General features: G+C 49.9%; 3 protein-coding genes and 2 pseudogenes across 7 annotated transcripts, besides 4 other annotated features; 4 read left to right on the top strand and 1 right to left on the bottom strand.

Moving 5' to 3' along the window:
• Positions 1 to 192: 192 nt before the first annotated feature.
• MT1G (metallothionein 1G) lies at positions 193 to 1,528 on the bottom strand. 2 transcript variants are annotated; one of them, NM_005950.3, is made up of 3 exons: positions 1,429 to 1,528; positions 775 to 840; positions 193 to 433 (listed from the first exon to the last, which is right to left on the bottom strand). In NM_005950.3, exons 1-3 carry the CDS (start codon positions 1,454 to 1,456, stop codon positions 342 to 344), a joined length of 186 nt encoding a protein of 61 aa, NP_005941.1. In that variant the 5' UTR covers positions 1,457 to 1,528; the 3' UTR covers positions 193 to 341. The 2 variants fall into 2 exon arrangements, with proteins under 2 accessions (NP_005941.1, NP_001288196.1); NM_001301267.2 differs by having other exon boundaries at positions 775 to 843.
• A 1,748-nt stretch (positions 1,529 to 3,276) lies between these two features.
• Positions 3,277 to 4,592, top strand: MT1H (metallothionein 1H). Its single transcript, NM_005951.2, has 3 exons — positions 3,277 to 3,375; positions 3,969 to 4,034; positions 4,361 to 4,592. The coding sequence occupies exons 1-3, from the start codon at positions 3,348 to 3,350 to the stop codon at positions 4,450 to 4,452; spliced, it is 186 nt and encodes a 61-aa protein (NP_005942.1). The 5' UTR covers positions 3,277 to 3,347; the 3' UTR covers positions 4,453 to 4,592.
• Positions 8,132 to 8,803: an enhancer, noted in NCBI's record as "OCT4-NANOG-H3K27ac hESC enhancer chr16:56708581-56709252 (GRCh37/hg19 assembly coordinates)". NCBI's record gives its function as "activates a minimal SCP1, AML or CMV promoter by ChIP-STARR-seq in primed H9 embryonic stem cells {active_cell/tissue: H9 hESC(primed)}" and the evidence as "EXISTENCE:reporter gene assay evidence [ECO:0000049][PMID:30033119]".
• Positions 9,579 to 11,340, top strand: MT1IP (metallothionein 1I, pseudogene; annotated as a pseudogene). 3 transcript variants are annotated; one of them, NR_104045.1, is made up of 4 exons: positions 9,579 to 9,680; positions 9,987 to 9,990; positions 10,553 to 10,577; positions 11,115 to 11,340. The product of NR_104045.1 is annotated as a metallothionein 1I, pseudogene, transcript variant 2 (transcript). The 3 variants fall into 3 exon arrangements; NR_003669.2 differs by lacking the exon at positions 9,987 to 9,990 and having other exon boundaries at positions 10,534 to 10,577; NR_104046.1 differs by lacking the exons at positions 9,987 to 9,990; positions 10,553 to 10,577.
• Positions 15,708 to 15,977: a silencer, noted in NCBI's record as "silent region_7513". NCBI's record gives its function as "represses an Ori minimal core promoter by ATAC-STARR-seq in GM12878 lymphoblastoid cells {active_cell/tissue: GM12878}" and the evidence as "EXISTENCE:reporter gene assay evidence [ECO:0000049][PMID:35858748]".
• Positions 15,708 to 16,317: a biological region, named in NCBI's record as "H3K27ac-H3K4me1 hESC enhancer GRCh37_chr16:56716235-56716766".
• Positions 15,786 to 16,317: an enhancer, noted in NCBI's record as "H3K27ac-H3K4me1 hESC enhancer chr16:56716235-56716766 (GRCh37/hg19 assembly coordinates)". NCBI's record gives its function as "activates a minimal SCP1, AML or CMV promoter by ChIP-STARR-seq in primed H9 embryonic stem cells {active_cell/tissue: H9 hESC(primed)}" and the evidence as "EXISTENCE:reporter gene assay evidence [ECO:0000049][PMID:30033119]".
• MT1X (metallothionein 1X) lies at positions 15,933 to 17,659 on the top strand. The gene is made up of 3 exons (NM_005952.4): positions 15,933 to 16,031; positions 16,628 to 16,693; positions 17,421 to 17,659. Exons 1-3 carry the CDS (start codon positions 16,004 to 16,006, stop codon positions 17,510 to 17,512), a joined length of 186 nt encoding a protein of 61 aa, NP_005943.1. The 5' UTR covers positions 15,933 to 16,003; the 3' UTR covers positions 17,513 to 17,659.
• DPPA2P4 (developmental pluripotency associated 2 pseudogene 4) lies at positions 20,300 to 21,761 on the top strand (annotated as a pseudogene).

Here is a 24,379-nt window from a genome sequence, read left to right on the forward strand (position 1 = left end):
GTCCCCATCCCCATATCATCCAGCACAGTGCAGGTGCCTTTTACAGAAGATGGAGGTCAGTGATGTAACGGGGCTTGCCTGAAGGCGCTCAGACTGTTCAGCACTCACATTTCCATCCAGAGCCCAGTCTAAACTCCCAGTTCAATCTCCCACCCCAGTCCCTCATTCCAAAAACACAACAGGAACCAGAACGGGAATCAAGTCTAAGTGTTTAATTATTATTCACATATTTCACAGAAAAAAAGGAATGTAGCAAAGGGGTCAAGATTGTAGCAAAAAACAAAAAATCCTGGATTTTACGGGTCACTCTATTTGTACTTGGGAGCAGGGCTGTCCCGACATCAGGCGCAGCAGCTGCACTTCTCCGATGCCCCTTTGCAGATGCAGCCCTGGGCACACTTGGCACAGCCCACAGGGCAGCAGGAGCAGCAGCCTGGGGAGGAAAGGAGATTGAGAGGTCAGAGCAGACTCGATCAGAGAACTCCCTGCCCCAACAGAGGCCTGTCTCCATCCCTCCAGCCCCAGAGGACCCTTAGTTCATGATGGCATGGTTTTTGTCAGGAGACAACTGGTGGACATTGGAATGGGTCTTCCTTTGAGAAAGCTGCCCCACCTCACATAAGCCCTGGAAAGTGCAGAAGACTAGACAGGCAGTGACAACCTACAGGGACAAAGGAAGGCCGGTTCCCCAGAAGCACGCACTCAGGGACAGCCTTGGGTTCCCTCCCAACCTTAGCCACAGCCCCAGATTCCTGGAGATGGCCCCGCACTCACTCTTCTTGCAGGAGGTGCATTTGCACTCTTTGCACTTGCAGGAGCTGGCGCAGGTGCAGGAGACACCTGCTAGAAGAGAAAAAGCCAGTGAACGGTGAGTGAGATGCAGAAGGTACAGCAGTGGGTCAATGAGTGTCCACTTCCCCCTTCTCTGTGCAGAGCCAGCCCTCAGAGCTCCTTTCCCACTCAGAGCAGAGGAAGAGAAGCCCCATGTCCTCTCCATTCATGCTGGGAAAACCAAGCACCCTCCTATTTCTACTCCAAAGGAAAGTCCCAGGCTGCAGACATGGCCCAGGAAGACTTCGACTTTCTGTCCTGAACCTGGAAGAGGCAATGTCCCCTCCTATCCAATGTCTCCTATCCAATCCGGTAGCTCAGAGTCAGGTTAGAGAATTGGGGCTCAGCCAGCAGCCCTGTGACCAACCAGGTGACGTGGAGCAGGACAGCCTTGAGCCTCAGGACCCTCAACTCTGACATAGAGGAACAGGGAGGAGGAAAATGCCCTCAGGAGCTTGGCCAACAGGAAAGCACTGGACCAATAAAGGAGTCCCCTTTACCTCTGATAGCAAAATACGACCTCCTCAAACCCAGGGACACTCTCTATGGTGTCTGGGAATTTGGCATCCCAAGGCACAGAACCCGGGCGTCCCTTACCAGCGGCACAGGAGCAGTTGGGGTCCATTGCAACCCGAGGCGAGACTAGAGTTCCCAAGCGAGAAGGGAAGAGGCAGTGGGTGCACGTGGAAGGCGGAGTGGAGCCCAACAGCCAGCGGCTGTTTTTATAGTCAGGAGACGGGGCCGGGCGCAGACGCCCCGCCCCGCCCTTGCACCCAGCCCGCTGAGTCCGCACCGCCCGCGGTCCCGGCCTGGGCTGTGCGCAGGAGATGGGCCAAGTGCAAGGTCCCTTGAGCGCAGCTGGGCGCACACCGCAGGACGGCCCCTTTCGCACCGGCTCGCGAGGGAGGCGCTGTGCCCCCCGTGTGCGGCTTCTCTCACCCTGCCAGGCCTTCCCAGCTTCCCTGAGGTTGCCTGCTACACCCGCCCCTTGGCGTTCCGCCTACCCCAGTATTCTGGCTTTCCCCTCACCTTCACCAACGCCCAGGTCTCTAGTCAATAGCTAAGCCTTTCCTGGAGTCGAGGGCAACCCCAGTCTTGTGCTCCACTTTCTGGATCTGCCAAAGCGGGGAGCATAGCAAGGGAGTAGTGTGCAAAGGGCAGGCCAAGGGTGCGAACTTCGCATCTCTGGCAGTATCCGCCCTGTCCCCGTTCCCACCTCAGTCCTTTGGTCACGCTTCTCCTGTGCTCAGTAACACGGAAGAAACAGTGATCTGCCTCTCTCTTCTATTCTCCACTCTTGAGGAGCTGAATGGGCCCATTTGTCCAGGTCCTCCTTTGCATAAATCTCTCCAGGGTCTCCCCACAGCCTAGCCGGGTACCCCACTACAGGATGGCAGTTTGGAAAGTGTGGCAAGTCCCTAGAAGAGGGATCATTGAAGGTGATATGAAGATCCTGCATTAAATTAGAAAGCAAGAGCGCTGGTTATTTTTCCTTCCATATTCCTATTACTCTATGTTACACGGGTCTGTGTTTGGCCCTGTTTAATCACTTTCTGTCTTTGAACCCTCACAGCAACCCTAAAGGGACATGAGTCCTTTTCACGAACCCGTATTCCTAATCTGGACAATGACGAGGAGTTCAAGCCACTAGCCCAGGGTCAGGGAGCTGGGAAGTGGCACTGCTTGGTGTGAATCCTGTCAGCTTCCCTAGGTAGAGAGGTCAGTGATGAAGCTTCTCTATGGCCTAGGTATGTTTATCTCTTCACTGCTTGAAATCTTTCAACAAAACCAAGCATTACAGTCAGTCCTGGAAGCAAAACAGAGACATAGAGGGATATGAATAAGTATACTTTGATGGGAGGGAGGCAGGGTCCTGTGTCTTCCGTGTTGCTGTGCACAGGAGAAACGTGGCCGAAGAACTGAGGTGGGGACGGGGACAGGAACAGGCAATGCCAGAGATCTGAAGGTCGCATCCTCGGCATGTCCCTTGCACACTACTCCCTCGCTGTGCTCTCTGCTCCCACCAATCCAGACAATTGAACAAGAGACTGGGGTTGCACTGGGACTCCAGGAAAGCCTTAGCTGTTGACAGGGGGTGGGCAGGCCCCGGGGTGTGGGGCGCAGGTCAGGATCTCGGGGCACGCGGAACGCCAAAGGGCGGGAGTAGCAGGTAATCTCAGGGAACTGGGCAGGCCCGGCAGGGTGAAACAAGCAGCTCACCCGGGTGCACAGCCCCTCCCGCGGGAGCCGCTGCGAAAGGGCCGTCCCCGCGGTGTGCACCGACCTGCGCTCAGGGTACTTTGCGCCCGACCCGTCTGCTGCGCACAGCCCAGCCCAGGACCGCGGGCGGCTCGGACTCAGTGGGTCGGGTGCAAGGGTGGGGCAGGGTCTCTGCACCCGGCTCCCTCCCCTGACTAGAAAAGGAGCTGCCAACTGTTGCGCTCCACCACGCCCTCCACGTGTTCCACTGCCTCTTCTCTTCTCGCTTGGGAACTCCAGTCTCACCTCGGCTTGCAATGGACCCCAACTGCTCCTGCGAGGCTGGTAAGGAACGCCCGGGTTCTGTGCCTTAGGATGCCAAATTCCCAGACACCATAGAGAGTGTCCCTGGGTTTGAGGAGGTCATATTTTGCGATCTGAGCTGAAGAGGACTTCTTTACTTCCTCCGCTGCTTTCCTCTTGGCCAAGCTCCTGAGAGCATGTCCCTCTTCCCTGTGCCTCTATGTCAGAGTTGAGGGTCCTAAGGCTCAAGGCTGTCCTGCTCCACATCACCCCGTTGGTCACGAGGCTGCTGGCTGAGCCCCAATTCTCTAACCAGGCTCTGAGCAGCCGGATTGGATGGGAGGCATTGGATAGGTGGGGACATTGCCTCTTCAGGGTTCAGCACAGAAAGTCGAAGTCGCAGTCTTCCCGGGCTGTGCCTGGAGCCTGGGACTTACCTTTGGAATACAAACGGAGGGTGCTTGGTTTTCCCAGCATGAATGGAGAGGAGATGGGTCTTCTCTTCTTCTGCTGAGTGGGAAAGGAGCTCTGACGGCTGGCCCTGAACAGAGAAGGGGGAAGTGGACACTCATTGACCCACTGCTGTAACTTCTGCATCTCACTCACAACACACTGGCTTTTTCTATTCCTTGCAGGTGGCTCCTGCGCCTGCGCCGGCTCCTGCAAGTGCAAAAAGTGCAAATGCACCTCCTGCAAGAAGAGTGAGTGCGGGGCCATCTCCAGGAATCTGGGGCTGTGGCTAAGGTTGGGAGGGAACCCAAGGCTGGCCCTGAGTGCCTGCTTCCTTTGTCCCCCTAGGCCGTCACTGCCTTTCCAGTCTTCTGCTCTGTCCAGGGCTCCTGTGGGGCTGGGCAGTCTCTCATAGGAAGACTCACCCCAATATCCACCAGTCGTCTCCTGAAAAAGCTGTGCCATCCTGAACTAAGGATCCTCTGGGGCTGGAGTCTGAGCTTGAGCCAGGCCTGCTGTTGGGAGAGGGAGCTCCCTGGTCAAGTCTGCTGTGACTTCTCTCTCCCTTTTTCCCCAGGCTGCTGCTCCTGTTGCCCCCTGGGCTGTGCCAAGTGTGCCCAGGGCTGCATCTGCAAAGGGGCGTCAGAGAAGTGCAGCTGCTGTGCCTGATGTCGGGACAGCCCTGCTGTCAGATGAAAACAGAATGACACGTAAAATCCAGGATTTTTTTTTTCTACAACTCCGACTCATTTGCTACATTCCTTTTTTTCTGTGAAATATGTGAATAATAATTAAACACTTAGACTTGATTCCCGTTCTGGTTCCTGTTGTGTTTTTTGGAATGAGGGACTGGGGTGGGAGATTGAACTGGGAGTTTAAAGACTGGGCTCTGGATGGAAATGTGAGTGCTGAACAGTCTGAGCGCCTTCAGGTGAGCCCCATTACATCACTGACCTCCATCTTCTGTAAAAGGCACCTGCACTGTCCTGGCTCATATGGGGATGGGGACATACGCGATCAGCTCCACTCATATTAAATGTGGTACAGAGACTTCTCCATTCCTCATGTTTATTCTCAGGTTTCCCTGCCCAAGTTCAGTTCCTCAGCAGATTTTAGGCTTGAAATTGGCCACAGGAGGTGGATTCCAATGCCTAAATTACTTGAATCCTCCATGGGGCTTCTCAAACTCCACGGTGAAGGGACAGTTTTCATTTTCTATCCATCCCAGACCTAAACCTTTGTAAATAAAGTAATATTAATTATGAAGATAATGAAGCACAAAATATAGAACCCATGTTTTACATTTTACACAAAAAAATCAATAAATACATACAGAAATAACAGAAAAATGGAAGATTTACAAACTCTGCACATATGTTCATGGATGAGTTGCATTGGAGACTGGAAACAGCAGACTGACCCCACTGTGGACCACACACCTTCAGCAGCACAGGCCAGGACATTCTCATGAGGAACCATCAGGCTTGGCCTAGCCAGCATCACACACAAGACAGCACACTCAGGACACTCGCTGAACCCTGAGAGCTCCCTGTTGGGAGTTGGCTCAGAATCTTTGGAAGTTCCTCCCAAGGTCAGGCTTCATTTGTTCCTCTTTCAAGCTCCAGCCCTTGACTACTTCAAACCAGCATGCTCCTGGCAAGAGGCAATGTGATCGTGGGTTGCAGATGAAGTTATTTTGGAATTTTGATTGTGATTTCATCATTTCCATAATTACTAATACTTTATTTACACAAGTTCTCAGAATACAGCTATGGCAGATTGTGCAGCTGGCTGAGTGTGGTGATGTTCCTTAGGAAGGAAAGAGTCCCTGGATGTCTTGTTAATGACAAGTTAGTCCCTCCATTTCTGGAGGGAATGCTATTTGATGTTCAGTCAAAGAGGAAGATGAATCTCCTTGTGTAGAAGTCAGGACCACGCTTACCTGCTGCTTCCCTGTGAAGCAATTTCAGAAGGCAGCCAGCGCCTAGGGTGTAGTTTTAGTTGTCAGGCAGTCCTAGTTCACAGCCCACTCCACCACTTACTGGCTGTGTGGTTTGGGCAAGTCACCCACACTCTCTGAGCATCTAGTGCCTCATTTGTAGAAAGGAGATTATATCTCAATGCAGGGATTAAATGAGAGAGTGGGCCAGGCACAGTGGCTCATGCCTGTAATACCTGCACTTTGGGAGGCAGAGGTGGGAAGGTTGTTTGAGCCTAGGAGTTTGAGACTAGCCTGGGCAACACGGAGAAACCCCATCTCTACAAAAATTACAAAAATTAGACGATGTGATGCCATGCACCTGTGGTCCTAGCTGCTCTGGAGGCTGAGAAGGGAGGATTACTTGAGCTCAGGAGGTAGAAGTTATAGTCAGCAAGATCGTGCCACTGTACTCCAGGTTGGGCAACAGAACAAGACTCTATCTCAAGAAAAAAAAAAGACAGAGAGAGAGAGAATGAGGAATGATGCCTGGCAAGTGGTGAGTAGTCTATAATATTGGCTATTGCTTCTTTAAAACAATCATTACACATAGCGTAGGGGACATTTGTTTATTCACAGACAAAGCAGCCAGGCCTGGAGTGCCTAGCTGTGTATACTGTAACTGTCATCTACCACTCAAACACGGGTCCTGTGGACCAGAGAGTCAGTCACTGTAACCACAAAAATGTCATCAACACAGGGTTATAAAGCTATGAGCACGATGCAGTGCCTCATGTCACATATAGAATGACTGCCATTTCTGCTGCCATGTGCACATTTTATGTATCATTTCACATTGAAATGATTAATACTCTCTGAGATGAACAAATTTTGCTCTTGGCTTGAGAGATGGGAACGGAAGCCCAGGGAGGTCGCGGCTATGCACAGGGGTCTCACTGCCAACTCAACGTGCTTCCACCGCTGCATCCCAGCGGTGGAATATGAGGACATTCAGCATCATCATGTTTGTGTTGACTTGGTGGCATAGAGCATGGGGTAAGGACATGATGCTGCAGTCAGCCTGTATGAGTGCAAATCCCAACTCTGCCACGATGTGTGTGACGCAACCTCTCTGTGTCTCAGTCTCATCAGCTGGAGTATAATAATATCTGCTTGTAAAATTAAATGATTTAATTCATGTAAGGAACTTAGAATGGTGCCTGGCAAACAGTGAGTCATCTATAACATTAACTGTTGCTTTTTTTTCTCTCATTACATATAGCATGGGGGATATTTATTTACTCACAGACAAAACAGCTAGGCCAGATATGCTCACTTGTGTATCCTGCTATTCTCATCTACTACATGAACATGTGTCCTGTGGTCAAAAGGGACATTTGCTCTTCCCATATAATAGTCATCAACACTAGGGATATAAAGCTATAAGCAAGATTCCATGCTTCATGTCAGATGAAAAAGAATGTCATTTCTGTACTCACAGTCACTGTATTTTACTTAACTTATAACATTGAAGTGACTGATATTTTCTTAAGTATATTTTTTTATTTAAAGCCAACTCTTTTCCACCAGTGAAAATGAAAATCAGTCTTATTCCACACATAGAAGATAGTCAGAAAAAGCTGGGCACAGTGGCTTACGCCTGTATTCCCAGCACTTTGGGAGGCCGCGGCAACCGGATTACCTGAGGTCGGGAGTTGGAGACCAGCCTGGCCAACTTGGTGAAACCTGGTCTCTACTAAAAATACAAAAATTACTTGGCATGGTGGCACACGCCTGTAGTCCCAGCTACTCTGGAGCCTTATGCAGGAGAATTACTTGAGCCCGGGAGACAGAGATTGCAGCCAGCCGAGATCGCGCCACTGCACTCCAGCCTGGCCGACAGAGGGAGACTCCGTCTCAAAAAAAAAGATTACCAGCAATAGAGAAGTGCTGACAAACCTGGGCCAAAGGAAGGCTTGATCTTGGACACTTTCTCTTGAAACGCTGGCTAGATTCAAATCAGTGTAAACTGTTTAGCTCTGTGATGTTGAGCAAGTTACTTAAACTTCTTGTTACAGTTGTCAGTTTCATTCGCGTCCATGTGAAGAGACCACCAAACAGGCTTTGTGTGAGCAACATGGCTGTTTATTTCACCTGGGTGCAGGTGGGCTGAGTCCGAAAAGAGAGTCAGCGAAGGGTGGTGGATTATCATTAGTTCTTGTAGGTTTTGGGACAGGCGGTGAAGAGCAATGTTTTGTGGGCAGGGGTGGATCTCACAAAGTACATTCTCAAGGGTGGGGAGAATTACAAAGAAACTTCTTAAGCGTGGGGGAGATTACAAAGTATCTTCTTAAGGGTGGGGGAGATTACAAAGTACATTGATCAGTTAGGGCGGGGAAGAAACAAATCACAATGGTGGGATGTCATCAGTTAAGGCTATTTTTACTTCTTTTGTGGATCTTCAGTTACTTCAGGCCATCTGGATGTATATGTGCAAGTCACAGGGGATGCGATGGCTTGGCTTGGGTTCAGAGGCCTGACAGTCAGATTAGTAAAACAGGTCATAAATAGTATTTCTGTCAGGCCTCTGAGCCCAAGCCAAGCCATCGCATCCCCTGTGACTTGCACGTATACGCCCAGATGGCCTGAAGTAATTGAAGAATCACAAAAGAAGTGAAAATGCGCTGCCTTGCCTTAACTGATGACATTCCACCACAAAAGAAATGAAAATGGCCTGTTCCTGCCTTAACTGATGACATTATCTTGTGAAATTCCTTCTCCTGGCTCATCCTGGCTCAAAAGCTCCCCTACTAAGCACCTTGTGACCCCCACTCCTGCCCGCCAGAGAACAACCCCCCTTTGACTGTGATTTTCCTTTACCTACCCAAATCTTATAAAACGGCCCCACCCCTATCTCCCTTCGCTGACTCTCTTTTCGGACTCAGGCCGCCTGCACCCAGGTGAAATAAACAGCCTTGTTGCTCTCACAAAGCCTGTTTGGTGGTCTCTTCACAAGGATGCAAGTGAAAATTTCCCTTTAGGATTGTTGGGAGTGTTCAAGGAATTAATGATTTAAAGAGGCCTGGCACATTCTAAATGTTACATGATAAGAACATTGAACAGAAATACCCACTTCTCTCCTTGATTGACCGCAGGGTCTGCATGTCACCTAAAGTCATCCTCTTTGGAGGGCATCCCTCATTTTCAAAACTGCCATCCTGCAGTGGGGTGGCCGGCAGGCCTGGAAAGTCCCGGAGAACTATATGAAAAGGAGGAAACTGACAAATGTGCCCGCCATCACCTCAGAGGAGGAGCATGGAGGGAAGAGAGAGAGGCCGACCCGTGGTCGCCACGATCTGTCTACAGGGGAAAAGAGTTTGAGGGTCTTAGGTGGGAAGAGTTACAGGTAATGAGGGGGGAGGGCGAGGGAGAAGCAAAAGTCACCTCCACCATGGCTCATCTGCACACTGCTCACTCGCTCTGCTCCCGGCTCTAGCCAATGAAGAAGGTGAGCAAGAGGATGGACCCGGATGCACACGGACCCGGGAGAGGCGAAGCTGAGGACGACTGTGCGGGGGAGGGAGAATGGAGGGGGTGGGGACAGCGCGACCACCTGGGAATGGGAAATGGCCCTCAGGGTGGCAGGGGCGGCGCGTACCTCTGGCAGCATAGCCCCTCCCGCACGAGCGGGCCCCAAAAGGGCGGTCCCCGGGAGCCCACCAGGCTGCACTCAGGGGATGGTGCGCCTGACCCGCCTGCTGCGCACAGCTCAACCCAAGACCGCAGGCGCCGCGGATTCCGCGTGGGGGTGGGTGAGAAGGGTACTCTGCACCCGGCCCCCTCTTCTAACTATAAATTGAGCTTCCGGTTCCTAGAATCCACCACGCCTCCCACCTGCCCCACTGCTTCTTCTCCTCTCCCTTAGGAACTCTAGCTTCACCTCGCTTCGTAATGGACCCCAATTGCTCCTGCTCCACTAGTAAGGGATACCGGGTTTCGGGGCTTTAGAATATCCATTTCCATTCCAGAGGATAGAATGTACCCGGGGCAGGAGGGAGGTGCATGTTAGCTCTTCCTAAAGTGGCCTCCTTTACTTTGCACTTCTCGTGTTTTTCCCTGTCAAGCGCCTTCATTACCACTTGGAATGTTGCCATCTTCCCAGCGCCCCCCCACTTTTTTTTTGTTTTTTTGTTTGTTTTTTGTTTTGTTTTGTTTTGTTTTGAGACGGAGTCTTGCCCTGTCGCCCAGGCTGGAGTGCAGTGGCCCGATCTTGGCTCACTGAAAGCTCCGCCTCCCGGGTTCACGCCATTCTCCTGTCTCAGCCTGAAGAGTAGCTGGGACTACAGGCGCCCGTCACCACGCCCGGCTAATTTTTTGTATTTTTGGTAGAGACAGGGTTTCACCGTGTTAGCCAGGATGGTCTCGATCTCCTGACCTCGTGATCCGCCCTCCTCGGCCTCCCAAAGTGGCCCTCCCATTTTTGAAGCGAGAAGACTGAGGCTCAAAACTGCCAGGTCACCCAGATAGCCAGTGGGTTCCCGGGCTGGGACCCAGTGCTCTGTCCAGCATTAGAGCTGCCTGAGGTGGATGGGAGGCAGGGAGCATTGCCTCTTAGGGATTCCTGATATAAGGCCTTGGGGAGTAAAATTAGGAGGGCGCCTGCCCATCCCAGCCTGTGGGGAAAAAAGGTGGAGCTGGGCTTCCGTGTGCCTGAGTGGAACAAGGTACCAGGTTTCCCATGCACTGAGCAGGAGGATGCTGAGGGCCTGCTCCTAACCCTGCAGCACACTCACTGCTCACTGCCTTTTTCTCTTCACCTGCACCTGCACCAGCTCCTGCAAATGCAGAGAGTGCAAATGCACCTCCTGCAAGACGAGTGAGTGAGGGGCCTTCCCTGGGAATCGCAGGGAGCGGGGGTGCTGGGCTGAGTCAGAGGAGGGATCTCAGATTCTGCAGGCAGGAGCAGGCTCATCACTAGCTTCCCACATCCCCTGAAACGGATTCAGGATCAGAGCTGGAAGAACATTAGGGATGGTTGATTCCTACCCAACCTTCATTCTTAACAATGGGGAAACTGAGGTCACAAGAATGTACCAGCTGGCCAACCACAGACCTGATTCTTGAGGGCTTTTCTCACTGAAATGTATGGTCCTGGGGAATTGCCCTTCCTTTGTCCCCACAGTCCCAGTCACTGCCTGTCCAGTCTTCTGCTCTGTCCTGGCTCTGGTGGGGCTGAGCAAGTTTTTCACAGGAAGGCTCTCACTCCAAAGATCCACCATTGTCTCACAGAGCACACCATCCGGACCTAAAGCTCCTCTGGGTCTGGGTGCGAGCTTGAGCCAGGCCCACTGTTGGGGCAGAGAGGTGCCTGTTCAAGTCTGCTGTGACCTGTCACTCTCCCCTTCTTCCCCAGGCTGCTGCTCCTGCTGCCCCGTGGGCTGTGCCAAGTGTGCCCAGGGATGTGTTTGCAAAGGGACACTGACAAGTGCAGCTGCTGCTCCTGATGTAGGGAAAGCTGTGTTCCCAGAAGTAGAAAGTGTACAAACCTGGAATTGTTTTCCATACAACCCTGACCCATTAGTACATTTGGGTTTCTAAAAATAAAATATGTTAATGATAATAAAAGTTGACTTTATTCTGGCTCAGTTTTGTTTTGTGTGCCTTGGAAAAAAGTGATCTGATACCCAACAGAGCTGGGATAAGCAATTGCATTGAGAGTCCAGACACATGGGTGCTGGTACCACGTCCTATCACCTTACACACTGAGTGCCTTAAGACAAATCACATTACCTGTCTCTGCTAAAAAATGTAAAAGCATTATACATGTAGGCCGGGCATGGTGGCTCACACCTGTAATTGCAGTACTTTGGCAGGCCAAGGTGGGCAGATTACAAAAGGCCAGAAGTTCAAGACCAGCCTGGCCAACGTGATGAAACCCCCATCTCTACTAAAAATACAAAAATTAGCCACGAGTGGCGTCGGGTGCCTGTAATCCCAGCTATTTGGGAGGCTGAAGAAGGAGAATCACTTGAACCCGGGAAGTTGTGGTTGCAATGAGCCGAGATTGCACCACTGCACTCCTGCCTGGGTAACAAGAGGGAAACTCCATTTCAAAAAAAAACCAAAAAAACAGTATACATGTAAGAGATATAATGGCATAGGCGTGGGCATCTGTAACAGACCTAAGCTTTGGGAAAATGAACTAAAATGAATTAGTATGAAATATAAAAACAAAATCTACTTTTTAATATTAAACAGGCAAATTATTAATAAATATAAATATATGAAAACAAAAAAATACATACAAAAAACAATGTATGAAAAACAAAATATATGACTATATTTAAATATATTAAAAAACAGAAAAATAAAAATTTACAGACATTGCATATATGTTCTAGGTTGCGTATTTCAGACTGGGAACAGTTTGTAGACTAACCCTCATGCGTGGATCACACACCTTCAGCAGTGCTGGCCTGGACATGTCCAAAAGGAACTATCAGTCCTGAACGGCACCATGTCACTCATGGAACTCTCGCTACCCCTGAGAGCTCCTTGTTCTGACTTGGCTCTGAATCTTTGGAAGTTTCTCCCAAGGTCAGGCTGCAGTCTCCTTCAAATTCCAGCCCTTGGTTACTTCAGGCCAGTGCAGTGAATAGGCAGGTGGAGCGAAGTGTCCAGCATCGTCCTGGCAAGCTGACTATAGATAGCAACTGGGGTTCCCAGGTGAAGTATTTTGACTCCGCCTCTGCAGGGGTGATGGCATATTCTGTACTTTGAAGGTGTGTGGTGTTCATTGAGAAGGATGAGGACTGATCATTGCTACCAACAGCTGGTACCTCCAGCTATCTGCTCAGGGAATTGTTATTCGAGGTTCAATCACAGGGAAGATGAGACAAGTGACCCAGGAGTCAAGACCTAGATGGGCTGCAGGTGCTCTTTGTGATGAGGGAATTTCAGAAGGTAGCCTGGGCCAAGTGCAGGCTTTGGTGTCAAACAACCGGGTTCACAGCCCACTTCACTCCTGACTGGCTGTGTGGCCTGCACAAGTCACTTAACCTCTCTGAGCCTCCATTTCCTCATCTGTATACAGGAGATTATATTTCCATGTAGGGATCAAATGGGACAGTGGCCTGGTACTAGTGGCCTAGGGCTTACTGAACAGTGCTATTATAATCATTTGTCCATGTGGACTTTCTAGACAGACAATCCTATTAGCTCCCATCAAGCTCCTTGGAAAAGGCCCATCTGCCTGCGGGTATTATGTGGACTGGAAGTTGGAGATGGATTTGGAGTCTTGCTGTTCTGGTCTCAAGGGCATGTGGATGACCTCCTGCACCTGCTCTCCAGGATAAGACACTGCTCCAGCATTCAGACAGAGAACAAGCCTTTCCCACCTTTCAAGTCATTTGATCTTCACACAAACCAGACACACAGTGAATGTGAAGGGTTTGGTGAGATGGTGCTGTCTTCTAGAGGAGTTGTACTGTCTTCTAAAGGAGTTAAGCAATCTTCCCAAGGTCACATAGTTTAGAAGTAAAGGCATGAATGAATCTATGCTGTGGGTGTCCTCATGCCCTCGCCATAGTGAAATATCACGCTGTCAATGGATGCTAAGCCCGGCCTCTCACATTCCAGAGCTGGAAGGGCCCATGGTTAGTTAGCCCAATTGTGACCCTGACTTGATAGCTGGTGAACTGAAGCCAGAGAGGACACACAGCTATTCAGAGGCTCTGACTGCCAGCTCAGTGCTCTTACCACTGTGCCTCTGTGCCAGAGTTAGTGTCCTCATGTGTCACACGACAGGGTGACACAGGCTTGTGGTTGAGGGCATTATTCTATGGTCAGCCTGTGTGAGTGCCAATCCCGGATGTGTCATCATGTATACCTGGGTGACACAACCTCTCTGTGGCTCAGTTCCTGCACTGTAAAAGGGGCAGAATATAATAATACATCATGTGCTGTATAAGGACGTTTTAGTTATAGATGCACTGCATATAGCATAGTGGTCCTATAAGGTTATAAGGTAACTGTACTCTACCTTTCTATGTTTAGCTATGTTTAGATACACAAATACCACTGTGTTATCATTGCCTTCAGTATTCAGTACAGTAGCATGCTGTACAGGTTTGAAGCCTAGGAGCAATAGGCCATATCACATAGCCTAGGTCTGTGGTAGGCCATAATATCTAGGTTTGTTATTGTACTCTTTACACTGTTTGCACAACATGAAATCACCCAACAATGCATTTCTTAGAATGTATTCCCATCACTAAGCAGCATATGACTGTAATGGGGTCTGACTTGTAGAAATAAATGATTTAATAGGTATAAAGAAATTAGAATGGTGCCTTGCACATGGCAAATGATCTATAATATTAACTATTATTTTGTTATTTTTATTCATGGCTGCTATGGTCTAAATGCTCGTATGCCTCCAATATTCATATGTGCAAATCTAATTTTCAGTGTGTTGGTACTGAGGTGGTGCATTTGGGAGGTGACTGAAATAAGAGGACCTAGTGCTCATGAATGGGATTAGTGCCTTAATTAGAGAGGCCTGAGGGAGCTTGTTTAACTCTTTCCACCATGTGAGGACCCAGCAAGAAAGAGACATCCGTGAGGAACGGGGCCCTCACAAGACTCCAAATATGCTGGTGCCTTGACCTTGGACTTCCATGCTTCCAGAACTGAGAGAAATATATTTTGCTGTTTTAAGTTACCCAGTCTAAGGCATCTGGTGATAGCAGCCCAAATGGACTCAGACGATAGCATAGTTGACATTTTTACTCCAGACAAAAGAGCCAGGCCTGGAGTCCCTCCCTGTGTGTCCTCTGTCTTTCTCATCAGCCACATGAGCATTGACCTGTGGTCCTGACAGTGTCCTGCACTCTGCCCACAAAATAGGGATTCACTCCAGAAATATAAAGCCATGAGCAAGATAGTCCCTGTCCCCATCACAGAAACGGAAGGATACCTGCCAGTTCTGCTACCACCTGCACCAATATGTGACTTAACGTTTTTCTTTCAAATGATTCCTATTTCCTTAGATATTTTTATATGAAAAGCAAACTCATTAGCACCACTGAAAAAAGAATCAGTTTAACTTCCAGACATAGAAGGTTGCCATCAAATTATGCTTATTCATATCCCCTCTGCATCTCTGTTTTGCTTCCAGGACTGACCTTGATGCTTGGTTTTGTTTAAAGATTTCAAGCAGTAAAGAGATGAATATATCTAGGCCAAAGGGAAGCTTCATCATTGCTTTGGGACGCTGACCGGATTCAGACCCAGCAGTGTCACTTCGCAGCCCTCTGACCCTGGGCTGGTGGCTTGAACTCCTTTTATTGTTGTTGTTCAGATTAGAATATGGGTTCATGAATAGAAGTATGTCCCTTTAGGGTTGCTGTGAGGGTTCAACGATGCAAAGTGACTAAAAAGGGCCTAACACGGATTAATGTTATGTAGAGTAATAGGAATATGGAAGGAAAAATAACCCTGTTTCTTGCATTTTAATTTAATCCGGAATCCGCATATCACCTAAAATGATCCCTTTTCTGGGAGCATTCCACATTTTCCAAACTGTCATCCTGTGGTGGGGTGCCCGGCTAGGCTATGGGGAGACCTGGAGAGTTTTATGCAAAGGAGGACCTGGGCAAATGTGCCCATTCAGCCTCTCAAGAGTGGAGAATGCAAGGACGGGGGCAGAGCCCTGTGTCTGTTCTGTCCCTAGACATAAGAGAAACGTGGCCAACAGACCGAGGTGGGGACGGGGACAGGGACCGGCAATGCAGGAAATCCGAGTGTCACATCCTCTGCCTCTCATTTGCACACTGCTCCCTCGCTATGCTCACCGCTCCCGCCGATCCAGGGACGTGATCCAGGGACTCTGGGAAATGCAAAGCTACACACAGTGGAGCGGGGGCTGGGGGTGTGTAGACCGCCGGGATTCCGAGTTTCCCGGCACGCCTAGGAGAGGGAGAGGCAGGCAATGTCAGGGAAATTGGGCAGGCAAGACGCCAGGGACGCCACGTACTGCCAGGTTCTCAACGAGGTGGAGCCAAAGGGGCAGGCCCCGCGGTGCGCCCGGCGCTGGGCTCACGGGTTGCTGCACCCGGCCCAGGATCGCGGGCGGTGCAGACTCAGCAGGGGCGGGTGCAAGGACGAGGCGGGGCCTCTGCGCCCGGCCCTCTTCCCGGACTATAAAGAGAGCCGCCGGCTTCTGGGCTCCACCACGCTTTTCATCTGTCCCGCTGCGTGTTTTCCTCTTGATCGGGAACTCCTGCTTCTCCTTGCCTCGAAATGGACCCCAACTGCTCCTGCTCGCCTGGTAAGGGACACCTAGCTCCGCGCCTTGGGATGCCCGTTTCCCAGCCACAGTACAGACTCTTCCTGGGTTTGAAGAAGTCGCATTTAAAGTTCTGAGCTGAAGGGGCTCCTTTATTTCGTTAGGTGCTTTCTTCCCGATCACGTCCCTGAGACCACTTCTCGCCTCCCTGTGCCTCTAAGTTAGAGTTGAGGGTACTGAGGCCCAAGGCTGTCCTGCTCCATGTCACCCAGTTGGTCAGGGGGCTGCTGGCTGAGCCCCAATGCTCTGACCAGGCTCTGAGCAGTCAGGGTGGATGGGAAGTGGGGGGCCATTGCCTCTTCGGAGTTCAGGACAGAAGGTTCTGGCCTCCTGTCTTAGCCTTCCTGGGCTGTGTCTGGAGCCTGGGACCTTGCTTGTGGGGTAAAAGCAACAGAACACTTGCCCTTCCCAAAATGAAGGGAGAGGAGATGGGGCTTCTCTTCCTCTCCCCTGAGTGGGAAAGGAGCTCTGGGGGCTGGTCCTTCAGCACAGAGGAGGGGTCACTGAAGCGTTATTGACCAGCTGCTGTACCTTCTGCATCTCACTCCACGCTCACTGCCTTTTTCTCTTCCTTGCAGTTGGCTCCTGTGCCTGTGCCGGCTCCTGCAAATGCAAAGAGTGCAAATGCACCTCCTGCAAGAAGAGTGAGTGCAGGGCCTTCCCTGCGAATCTGGGGGATGGGCCAAGTTAGAGCAGGGAACCCAGAGCTCTGCAGGCAGGGGCAGGCCAATGACCAGCTTCCCCAAACCCCTCCTTCAACACCTGATTCAGAATCAGACCTCAAATTGCCTTAAAAATGGGTGAGTCCCAGCCTCTTATTACCAAACTAGAAACTGAGGCCCAGAGAGGTTACCAGATAGTGTTGGGAACAAAGCTGGAATGTGAACCTAGGTCTCCTGCCTCCTGATGCAGCCTTCTTCACCCTTCTGGGTCCTGAAGCACTTAAGGCCCAGGATCTGGAAGACCCCGGGTGATTTCAAACCTAATGATCCAGTCCTTTCCTGCAGGGGTAGCCCAGAGCTTCCCTAGCCTTCCCCAGAACTGCTGTGTCAGGGATTTGCCCCCTGTCCGGCTGTGAAGACTTTCCTCATTTAAGGGTAGGTTTTGGGGAACTGGCCTCCTTTTGTTCCTGTACCCCCAATCACTACCTGTCCAGTCTTCTGTCCTGTCCCAGACTCAGGTGGGGCTGGGCAGCTTTTTCATATAAAACCCTCATCCCAAAGATCTACCAGTTCTCTTCTGACAAAGCCATGCCATCCTGAAATGATGGTCCTCTGGGGCTGGAGGCAGGGCTCGAGCCAGGCCTCTGTTGGGGCAGGGAGGTGCCTGATTGAGTCTGCTCTGACCTCTCACTCTCCCCTTCTTCTCCAGGCTGCTGCTCCTGCTGCCCTGTGGGCTGTGCCAAGTGTGCCCAGGGCTGCATCTGCAAAGGGACGTCAGACAAGTGCAGCTGCTGTGCCTGATGCCAGGACAGCTGTGCTCTCAGATGTAAATAGAGCAACCTATATAAACCTGGATTTTTTTTTTTTTTTTTTTTGTACAACCCTGACCCGTTTGCTACATCTTTTTTTCTATGAAATATGTGAATGGCAATAAATTCATCTAGACTATTCTGGCTCTGGGCACCTCATTTGTCACTGGGTATATGGCACTTGGTTCCAGTTGGATTGTAGGAAACCCAGATTGTGGGGCATTTCAGAGAGGGGACCATGGCAGTGGGGGTCTGGGTGCAAGGTTCCTGCAATCCTGCCTGGCCTTGGCTCTCCTTTGTGAACTATGGCAAACTAGGGGGTTTATTCTACCACCCTCTAGCAACGGTTAACTGGTAGTAGCTGCCCTTTTTGTGTAGCTGTGACACAGCCTATACTCACCAGCCACCTATGGTGCACCTACTGCATACACAGGCATGGGGTCCTCAGTGGTGAGGGGAACAGGGAGCTTATGGACTGCTGGGGGGAGAGAGAATTATAGAATAAGGAATCTTATAAAGGAGAAAGTACTGTGACTGAATGCACTTGGGGTGAGCCCAAATGAAGAACTCTTTCCACTGGGATCTGAGAGCTGCATTCCTGCAGAGGGCACAGCTCCAGCAAAGGTCTGGAAGTGGGGAAGAGTCTGGCACTGGGGGAACAGAAGACCAATGTGTGATTGTGTGAGGGGAGAAGCCCATGTTCCGTTTGGAGAGGGGAGGGCAGAGGCCACGTGCCTCATTCATCTGAAGGATGGCCTCACTGGCTGCACAGTTGAATCACTTGGAGAGGCTGGAAAAGTGCTCGAGCCTGTATTCCACTTCCCCCACCCCTGCAGCCCCCTTTCCAATTTGTTTAGGGCTAAGTGGGCCCAGGGAACCTACCTTTTAATTTTTAATAAGTACCTAGGTTTGCAACCCACTGAAGCAGTCACACGGAATTATTTGGTGAAATAAAATGGCCTCTGCCAGTTCCTCTCTGGTCTCAGGACCAGGAGATATTTTCCATCCCAGTTGGTATTTGGAGCAACTCTCCAGCATGTGGCTGCCTGTCCTGGTGGCCGAGGGAACCTGGAGGTGCCCAGCTTCCAGCTGGCTGTGGAGGGAGAGTCTGGCAATCCTCAACATGTAGTGTGGCAAATGTCTTCATGGAGACCAAACCAAGCTCAGAGGGTAGATTTAAGCTTCCTTGGGGGCTCATGCTAGGGAAACACCACTTCACTGAAGTTGGGTTGGTGTCTGAGGTGCCATTCTCTGGGGAGAGAATCTGACAGAGACCTCATAAGGCATGGGCAGGAGCGTGATGTGGGCACTGCCCTGTTTGTCTGAGATTTGATCCAGAAGCCCTGGTGCCAAAGTCACAAATGCACCCAGCCATTGCTGGTTTCATAACTCTGTTTTGGGAAACTGCAGCTGCCAAAACTCTCAAGGGATAGGCACAAAATGTTTTTGCCAGGTCTGACAAACATGATCATTCAACTTACGGCTTCTTTTCCAAGTCATGTGTGAAGTGGCATCCTGTTCATCCCTCACCCCCAGTCCTGAGCCCCATCTTCTTTGGGGCTGGGTGGGACATGATTATTGTGGATGTCTGTTGGAGAGATTAATGTACAGTCATTCAATTTTTTTTTTGATGTGGCTCTTATTGGAATGCTTTGTTTAATTTCCAGAGGCTTCAGTGTCAAGCACACCATCATGAAACAGCCTGGTAAAGCAGTTAAGTGCGTCAGCTCTGGAGCCAGGCTGCCTGGCTAGACCCACAGCTCCATTAGTTTGTCGAATTATGTGGTCTCTCTGTGCCTCACATTTCTTAACTGCAATGTGGGGACAATAATAGGACCTACGCCATAGAGTTGTGGTGAGGTTGAATGTGGCGAGCACTGTCCCTGGAACATATCAAGTCCTCAGTAAGTATGGGCCAGGTGTGGTGTCTGACAATCAGTAGGCGATCCATAAATGTTCTCTACTTAATTCAATGAGCACTTATGGGACCCCGTTCAGTATGTAAACCATTGTACTGCCCACAGAGAGGTAAGATAATATATAAATAAGAGCCAATTCCTTTGTTGGAGATCTTATTCAAGTCTCTGTTGAATTCAGGGAGCAATTATTTACCACTGCAAGATGCAGCTGCTGGGCTGGGACAGAGAGCCACATGGGGGCTAAAGATTTCTACCGCCAGGAGAAGCACCCATTCCACGCTGACTCTGGGATAGGCTGGGCGTGAGACAGGTTAAGACAGAGGTATGGACGCTTTGGGAGAAGAATGTGATTTAGCTGGGCCAGGGGAGCAGGAGAAAAACATTCACTCGCCTAGGCACAGTGGCTCATGCCTGTAGTTACAACATTTTGGGAGGTGAAGGAGGGCAGATCGCTTGAGCCCAGGAGTTTGAGACCAGCCTGGGCAACATGGCGAAATGTCTCTACAAAAATAAAAAAAAACAAATAAATTAGCCAGGCACGGTGGTGTGCACCTGTAGCCCCAGCTATTCAGGAGGCTGAGGTGGGTGGATCACTTTAGCCTGGACGGTCGAGGGTACAAGGGAGCTGTGATCATGCCACTACACTCCATCCTGGGTGACAGAGCAAGACCCTGTCTCAAAAAACAAAAACAGATTATTTGGTAGAGACGGGGGTCTCACCATGTTTCCCAGGCTGGTCTCAAACTCCTTGACTCAAGCGATCCACCTGCTTGGGCTTCCCAAAGTGCTGGGACTACAGGCGTGGGTCACCGTGCCTGGCTTAATTTTTTAAAAAACTTGTCACTGAATGGACAAGACAGGGGCATTGCTGAAAATGTCAGACTCAAATTTTGATAGCAGCAAGAATAATTTCTTTGAGGGGGAAATAGATGATGAGGAAAGTGTGATTTTGACATTGGTGCCAGTTAAAGAAGATCCAAATATAGAATAAGCGTTTCTTCAACTTCTGATGTCAAACCGGAGAAGCCTAAGAAACACAATAAAGTTCATCTACCTCAAACAAACAATTCACAGCTCCACAAAAGCTAGATGCAAAATACCAGTCTTTCCCTTGCCGACCATTTTGCCTCCCATTAATAAGTTGTGTCGGGAGACTTTGTGGAACTGGTGTCAACAACGAGTTTTGAGTCCTAATGGCAAGAAAATAGAAGTTTATCTGAGGGCCAGGCGTGGTGGCTAACGCCTGTAATCCCAGCACTTTGGGAGGCTGAGGCTGAGGTCAGGAGTTCGAGACCAGCCTGGCCAATGTGGTGAAACCCTGTCTCTACTAAAAATACAAAAACAAACAAACCAACAAAAAAAACTAGCCAGGCATGGTGGTACGCACCTGTAGTCCCAGCTACATGGGAGGCTGAGGCAGGAGGATCACTTGAACCTGGGAGGTGGAGGCTGCAGTGAGCTGAGATCACGCCACTGTACTCCAGCCTGGGTGACAGAGCAAGACTCCATCTAAAAAAAAAAAAAAAAAAAAAAAAGTTTATCTGAGGCTCCATAGACACGCTTACCCTGAACAACAGCAAGATATTCCTGAAATGTCACAGGAGACCAGATTACAGCCATGGTTGAGGAAACACAAGGCATTGACCAAGAGAGCAAGGCTTCAGAAAAGTCATGAGATGAATGAGAAAGCAGAAGAGACTAATACATTTGAAGTGATAACTTCAACTCAGGAAGCCATGTTGGCATCATGGGCAAGAATTGCTGTGAGAGCTGTTCAGCCTAAGGCTGTGAATTCATGTTCTATTCCTGCTTCTGTTGAGGCCTTTTTGAGGTAAGCCTCTGGTGTTGGGTGTCATATGGTCTATGGCAGACTTATCTCGGTAGACACAAAGGGTTGGGTACACCTGCAGTTTCGTGCAGGTCAGGCCTGGGTGCCTACCACTCACAGGAGGATGATTTCTCTCTTCATGTTACCTGCCTGCGTTTTTCCATCCCTAGGCATAGAAGATAATATGTCATGTGCTAACTGTGCTAAGAGGAATAAGAGGATGATGAAAAGATGAATGACAATGGAGAAGCAGCAGCAACCTGTTTGAATACAATGTACTAGAGAAAGAAAGATGTACTTTCGCACCATGTAACATACTATGAAGGAATGGAAGCAAAGACAATTTGAATGAATCCTCATGACCTACAAAACAAAATCATAGTGATTAGGACTCCACAGTGAAGATGGTTGACTAGTGACACAGCCTCACCTAAAGAGCCCCACAGAAAGTGGGTCTGAAAACCCATTAAAATAAAGTTACGGCAACTGGCCTTAACAAAAACAAAAACAGGCCGGGCGCGGTGGCTCAAGCCTGTAATCCCAGCACTTTGGGATGCCAGGTGGGTGGATAACCTGAGGTTAGGAGTTTGAGACCAGCCTGGCCAATAGGCGAAACCCAGTCTCTGCTAAAAATACAAAAACTAGCAGGGTGTGGTGACGCGAGTCTGTAATCCCAGTTACTCAGGAGGCTGAGACAGAAGAATCGCTTGAACCCAGGAGGCAGAGGTTGCAGTGAGCCAGGATCGTGCCACTGCACTCCAGCCTGGATGACAAGAGCAAGACTCCATCTCAAACAAACAAACAAAACAAAACCCATTTACTCATTCACTCATTCATTCATTCACACGGTCACATCTTGGCCACAGCAGATAGAGCATTGATGGGTAGGCTGGACAAAGCAGGAAGCTAACTCTTCTGGAGGGGGCTGCCCTGACATTGCCCAATGTGGATGACAAAGGCAAACTGAACCACTCAGATCCTCTCTTCTGAGAGACCTGAGGGGCTAACAGGGCTGCCAGAGCTCATGATAAAACTGGAGCTGCATCATGAGAATAGTAAAGAACCCACCCTAAATAGTAGCCATGAGGACAATTAGACCAAACCACATGCCTGCTTTTCCGTGGGAACTGCTATATATCTCAGTCCTCTAGGGACCCAGAGAGGCTGAACATCTGCTGACTGGGATCCCAGTGATACCCACCTCCCTTTGAATCCTGAAAGCAAACTCTGTATCAGTCAGGGTTCCTTGGATGCAAGCAACAGAAATGGACTCCAGCTAAATTAGGCAAAACAAATTCATTGGAAAGATACTGGAGACCCATGGAGTCAACTAGAAGGATGGAAAACTAGGCTCAGAAAATGGGTGGTTGCTGTGAGTGGTCAGGTAGCAGGTCATGTCACAGGATCAGCCCGGCTGGGCTGCAGCAGTTTACACAGCTGTCACCACTGCTTCTGCTGTTCCCAAATGCCCCCACCACTGCCATTGGCCACTGGTACTATGAATGAGTTCTAAACTATTCACTGAATTCTTTGCTTCCAGCTTAGGATTCAAAGTCTCAGGAAGTCCACTGGCTGGCAGTGGGGAGGAGAATCTGGCCACCTTCGGGTTCCCTAGTGGGACGTGGGACTCTGCACACCCTGAGACTCACTGTGGAGTTTCTTCCTATACCAGGAAGAGTCCTGGCAGGAGATCAGTGAGTCATTGGGGAGAGTTTAATAAAGGGGTGTTTACAAAGGAGCAGGAAGGATTAAAAGAAATGAACAAAAGATGCAAAGACTCCCAGGCCTGCAACACTGGGGAGCAATTGCCAGGCCCGGGCATGGCTATCCCTGGAACCCAGAGAAAGTAGCTGCAGGAGAGGGTGTCCCAACGGGAGCTGTGACTCTCAGGTTGCCACACAACTCGGTGAAGAGGGAGTCCATTCTGTGACCTCCTCTCCATTCTGTGACCTCCTCTTCTCGTCTCCCATCTCCTGCCAATGCGCTCATTGGCTGAACCCAAACAGATGCTGGCCCTACCACTCCCTCCCTCTCTCTGGGTGGCGGGAGGAGGATGGAGAGTGGGTCTAGAAAATACCCAGCACACCTGCAAATAGGCTGTGTCCCGTCACTAAAGGCCATGTGCGTCTCTTCCTTACACCCTGGGAGAATGGAACTAATCTAAAGACAAATTCAGCTTACGGGGTTGGAGGGGGTCGGGGTGATGGTGGAAGCCTTGTATGGTGGAAGCAGGAGTCAGGGTGGGGTGGAGGTAGTGCAGGCATGTGAGGGCTCTCAGAATGTCTGTCTGCAGATGTGGCTGAGCAAGTCTGCTCAGACTCCCGTGAGGAGTGGAGGTCGGGGAAGAACCTGAATCACACACCTGTGTGTCCCCATGGGACACTTACCTGGCTTCATTTGTGGCATCACAATACCTACTAAGCCACCTTTTTTTTTTTTCCTTCCTTCCAGGTTTCTTTTCTTTTTTTTTAATTTTAGGTTTGAGGGGTACATGTGAAGGTCTGTTACATAGATAAACACATGTCATGGGGGTTTGTTGTAAATATTTCATCACCCACGTATGAAGCTGTTTCCAATAGTTATATTTTTTGCTTCTCTCCCTCCTCCGCCTCCCCTGAGGAGGTCCCATTGTCTGTTATTTCCTTCTTTGTGTTCATAAGTTCTTATCATTTAGCTCCAACTTATAAGTGAAAACATGCAGTGTTTGGTTTTCTGTCCCTGCTATAGTTTGCTAAGGATGATAGCCTCCAGCTCCATTCATGCTCCTGCAAAAGGCATGGTCTTGTTCTTTTTTATGGCTGCATACTATTCCATGGTGTGTATGGACCACATTTTCTTTATCCAGTCTGTCACTGATGGGTATTTAGATTGATTGCATGTCTTTGCTATTGTGAACAGTGCTACAAGAGCCACCTTTTCAGGGTGATCCCTGGGGCCATCCCTGGATGGCCGAAGTACTACATCCACCTCCTGCCCTGGGCAAAGCCGTGAAGTCAGCAAGGCTGGCCCTAGTTCCCCTCACCCTCATCAGCCATCCTTAGTTCCTTTCTGGCCCCCTCCACCCTCCATAGAGAAAGATTCTCCCTCCCTGCCGAAACCCACAACTCTTCTA

The sequence above is a fragment of the Homo sapiens genome, chromosome 16 (genome assembly GCF_000001405.40).
Source record: "Homo sapiens chromosome 16, GRCh38.p14 Primary Assembly".
NCBI classification, from domain to species: Eukaryota; Metazoa; Chordata; class Mammalia; order Primates; family Hominidae; genus Homo; species Homo sapiens.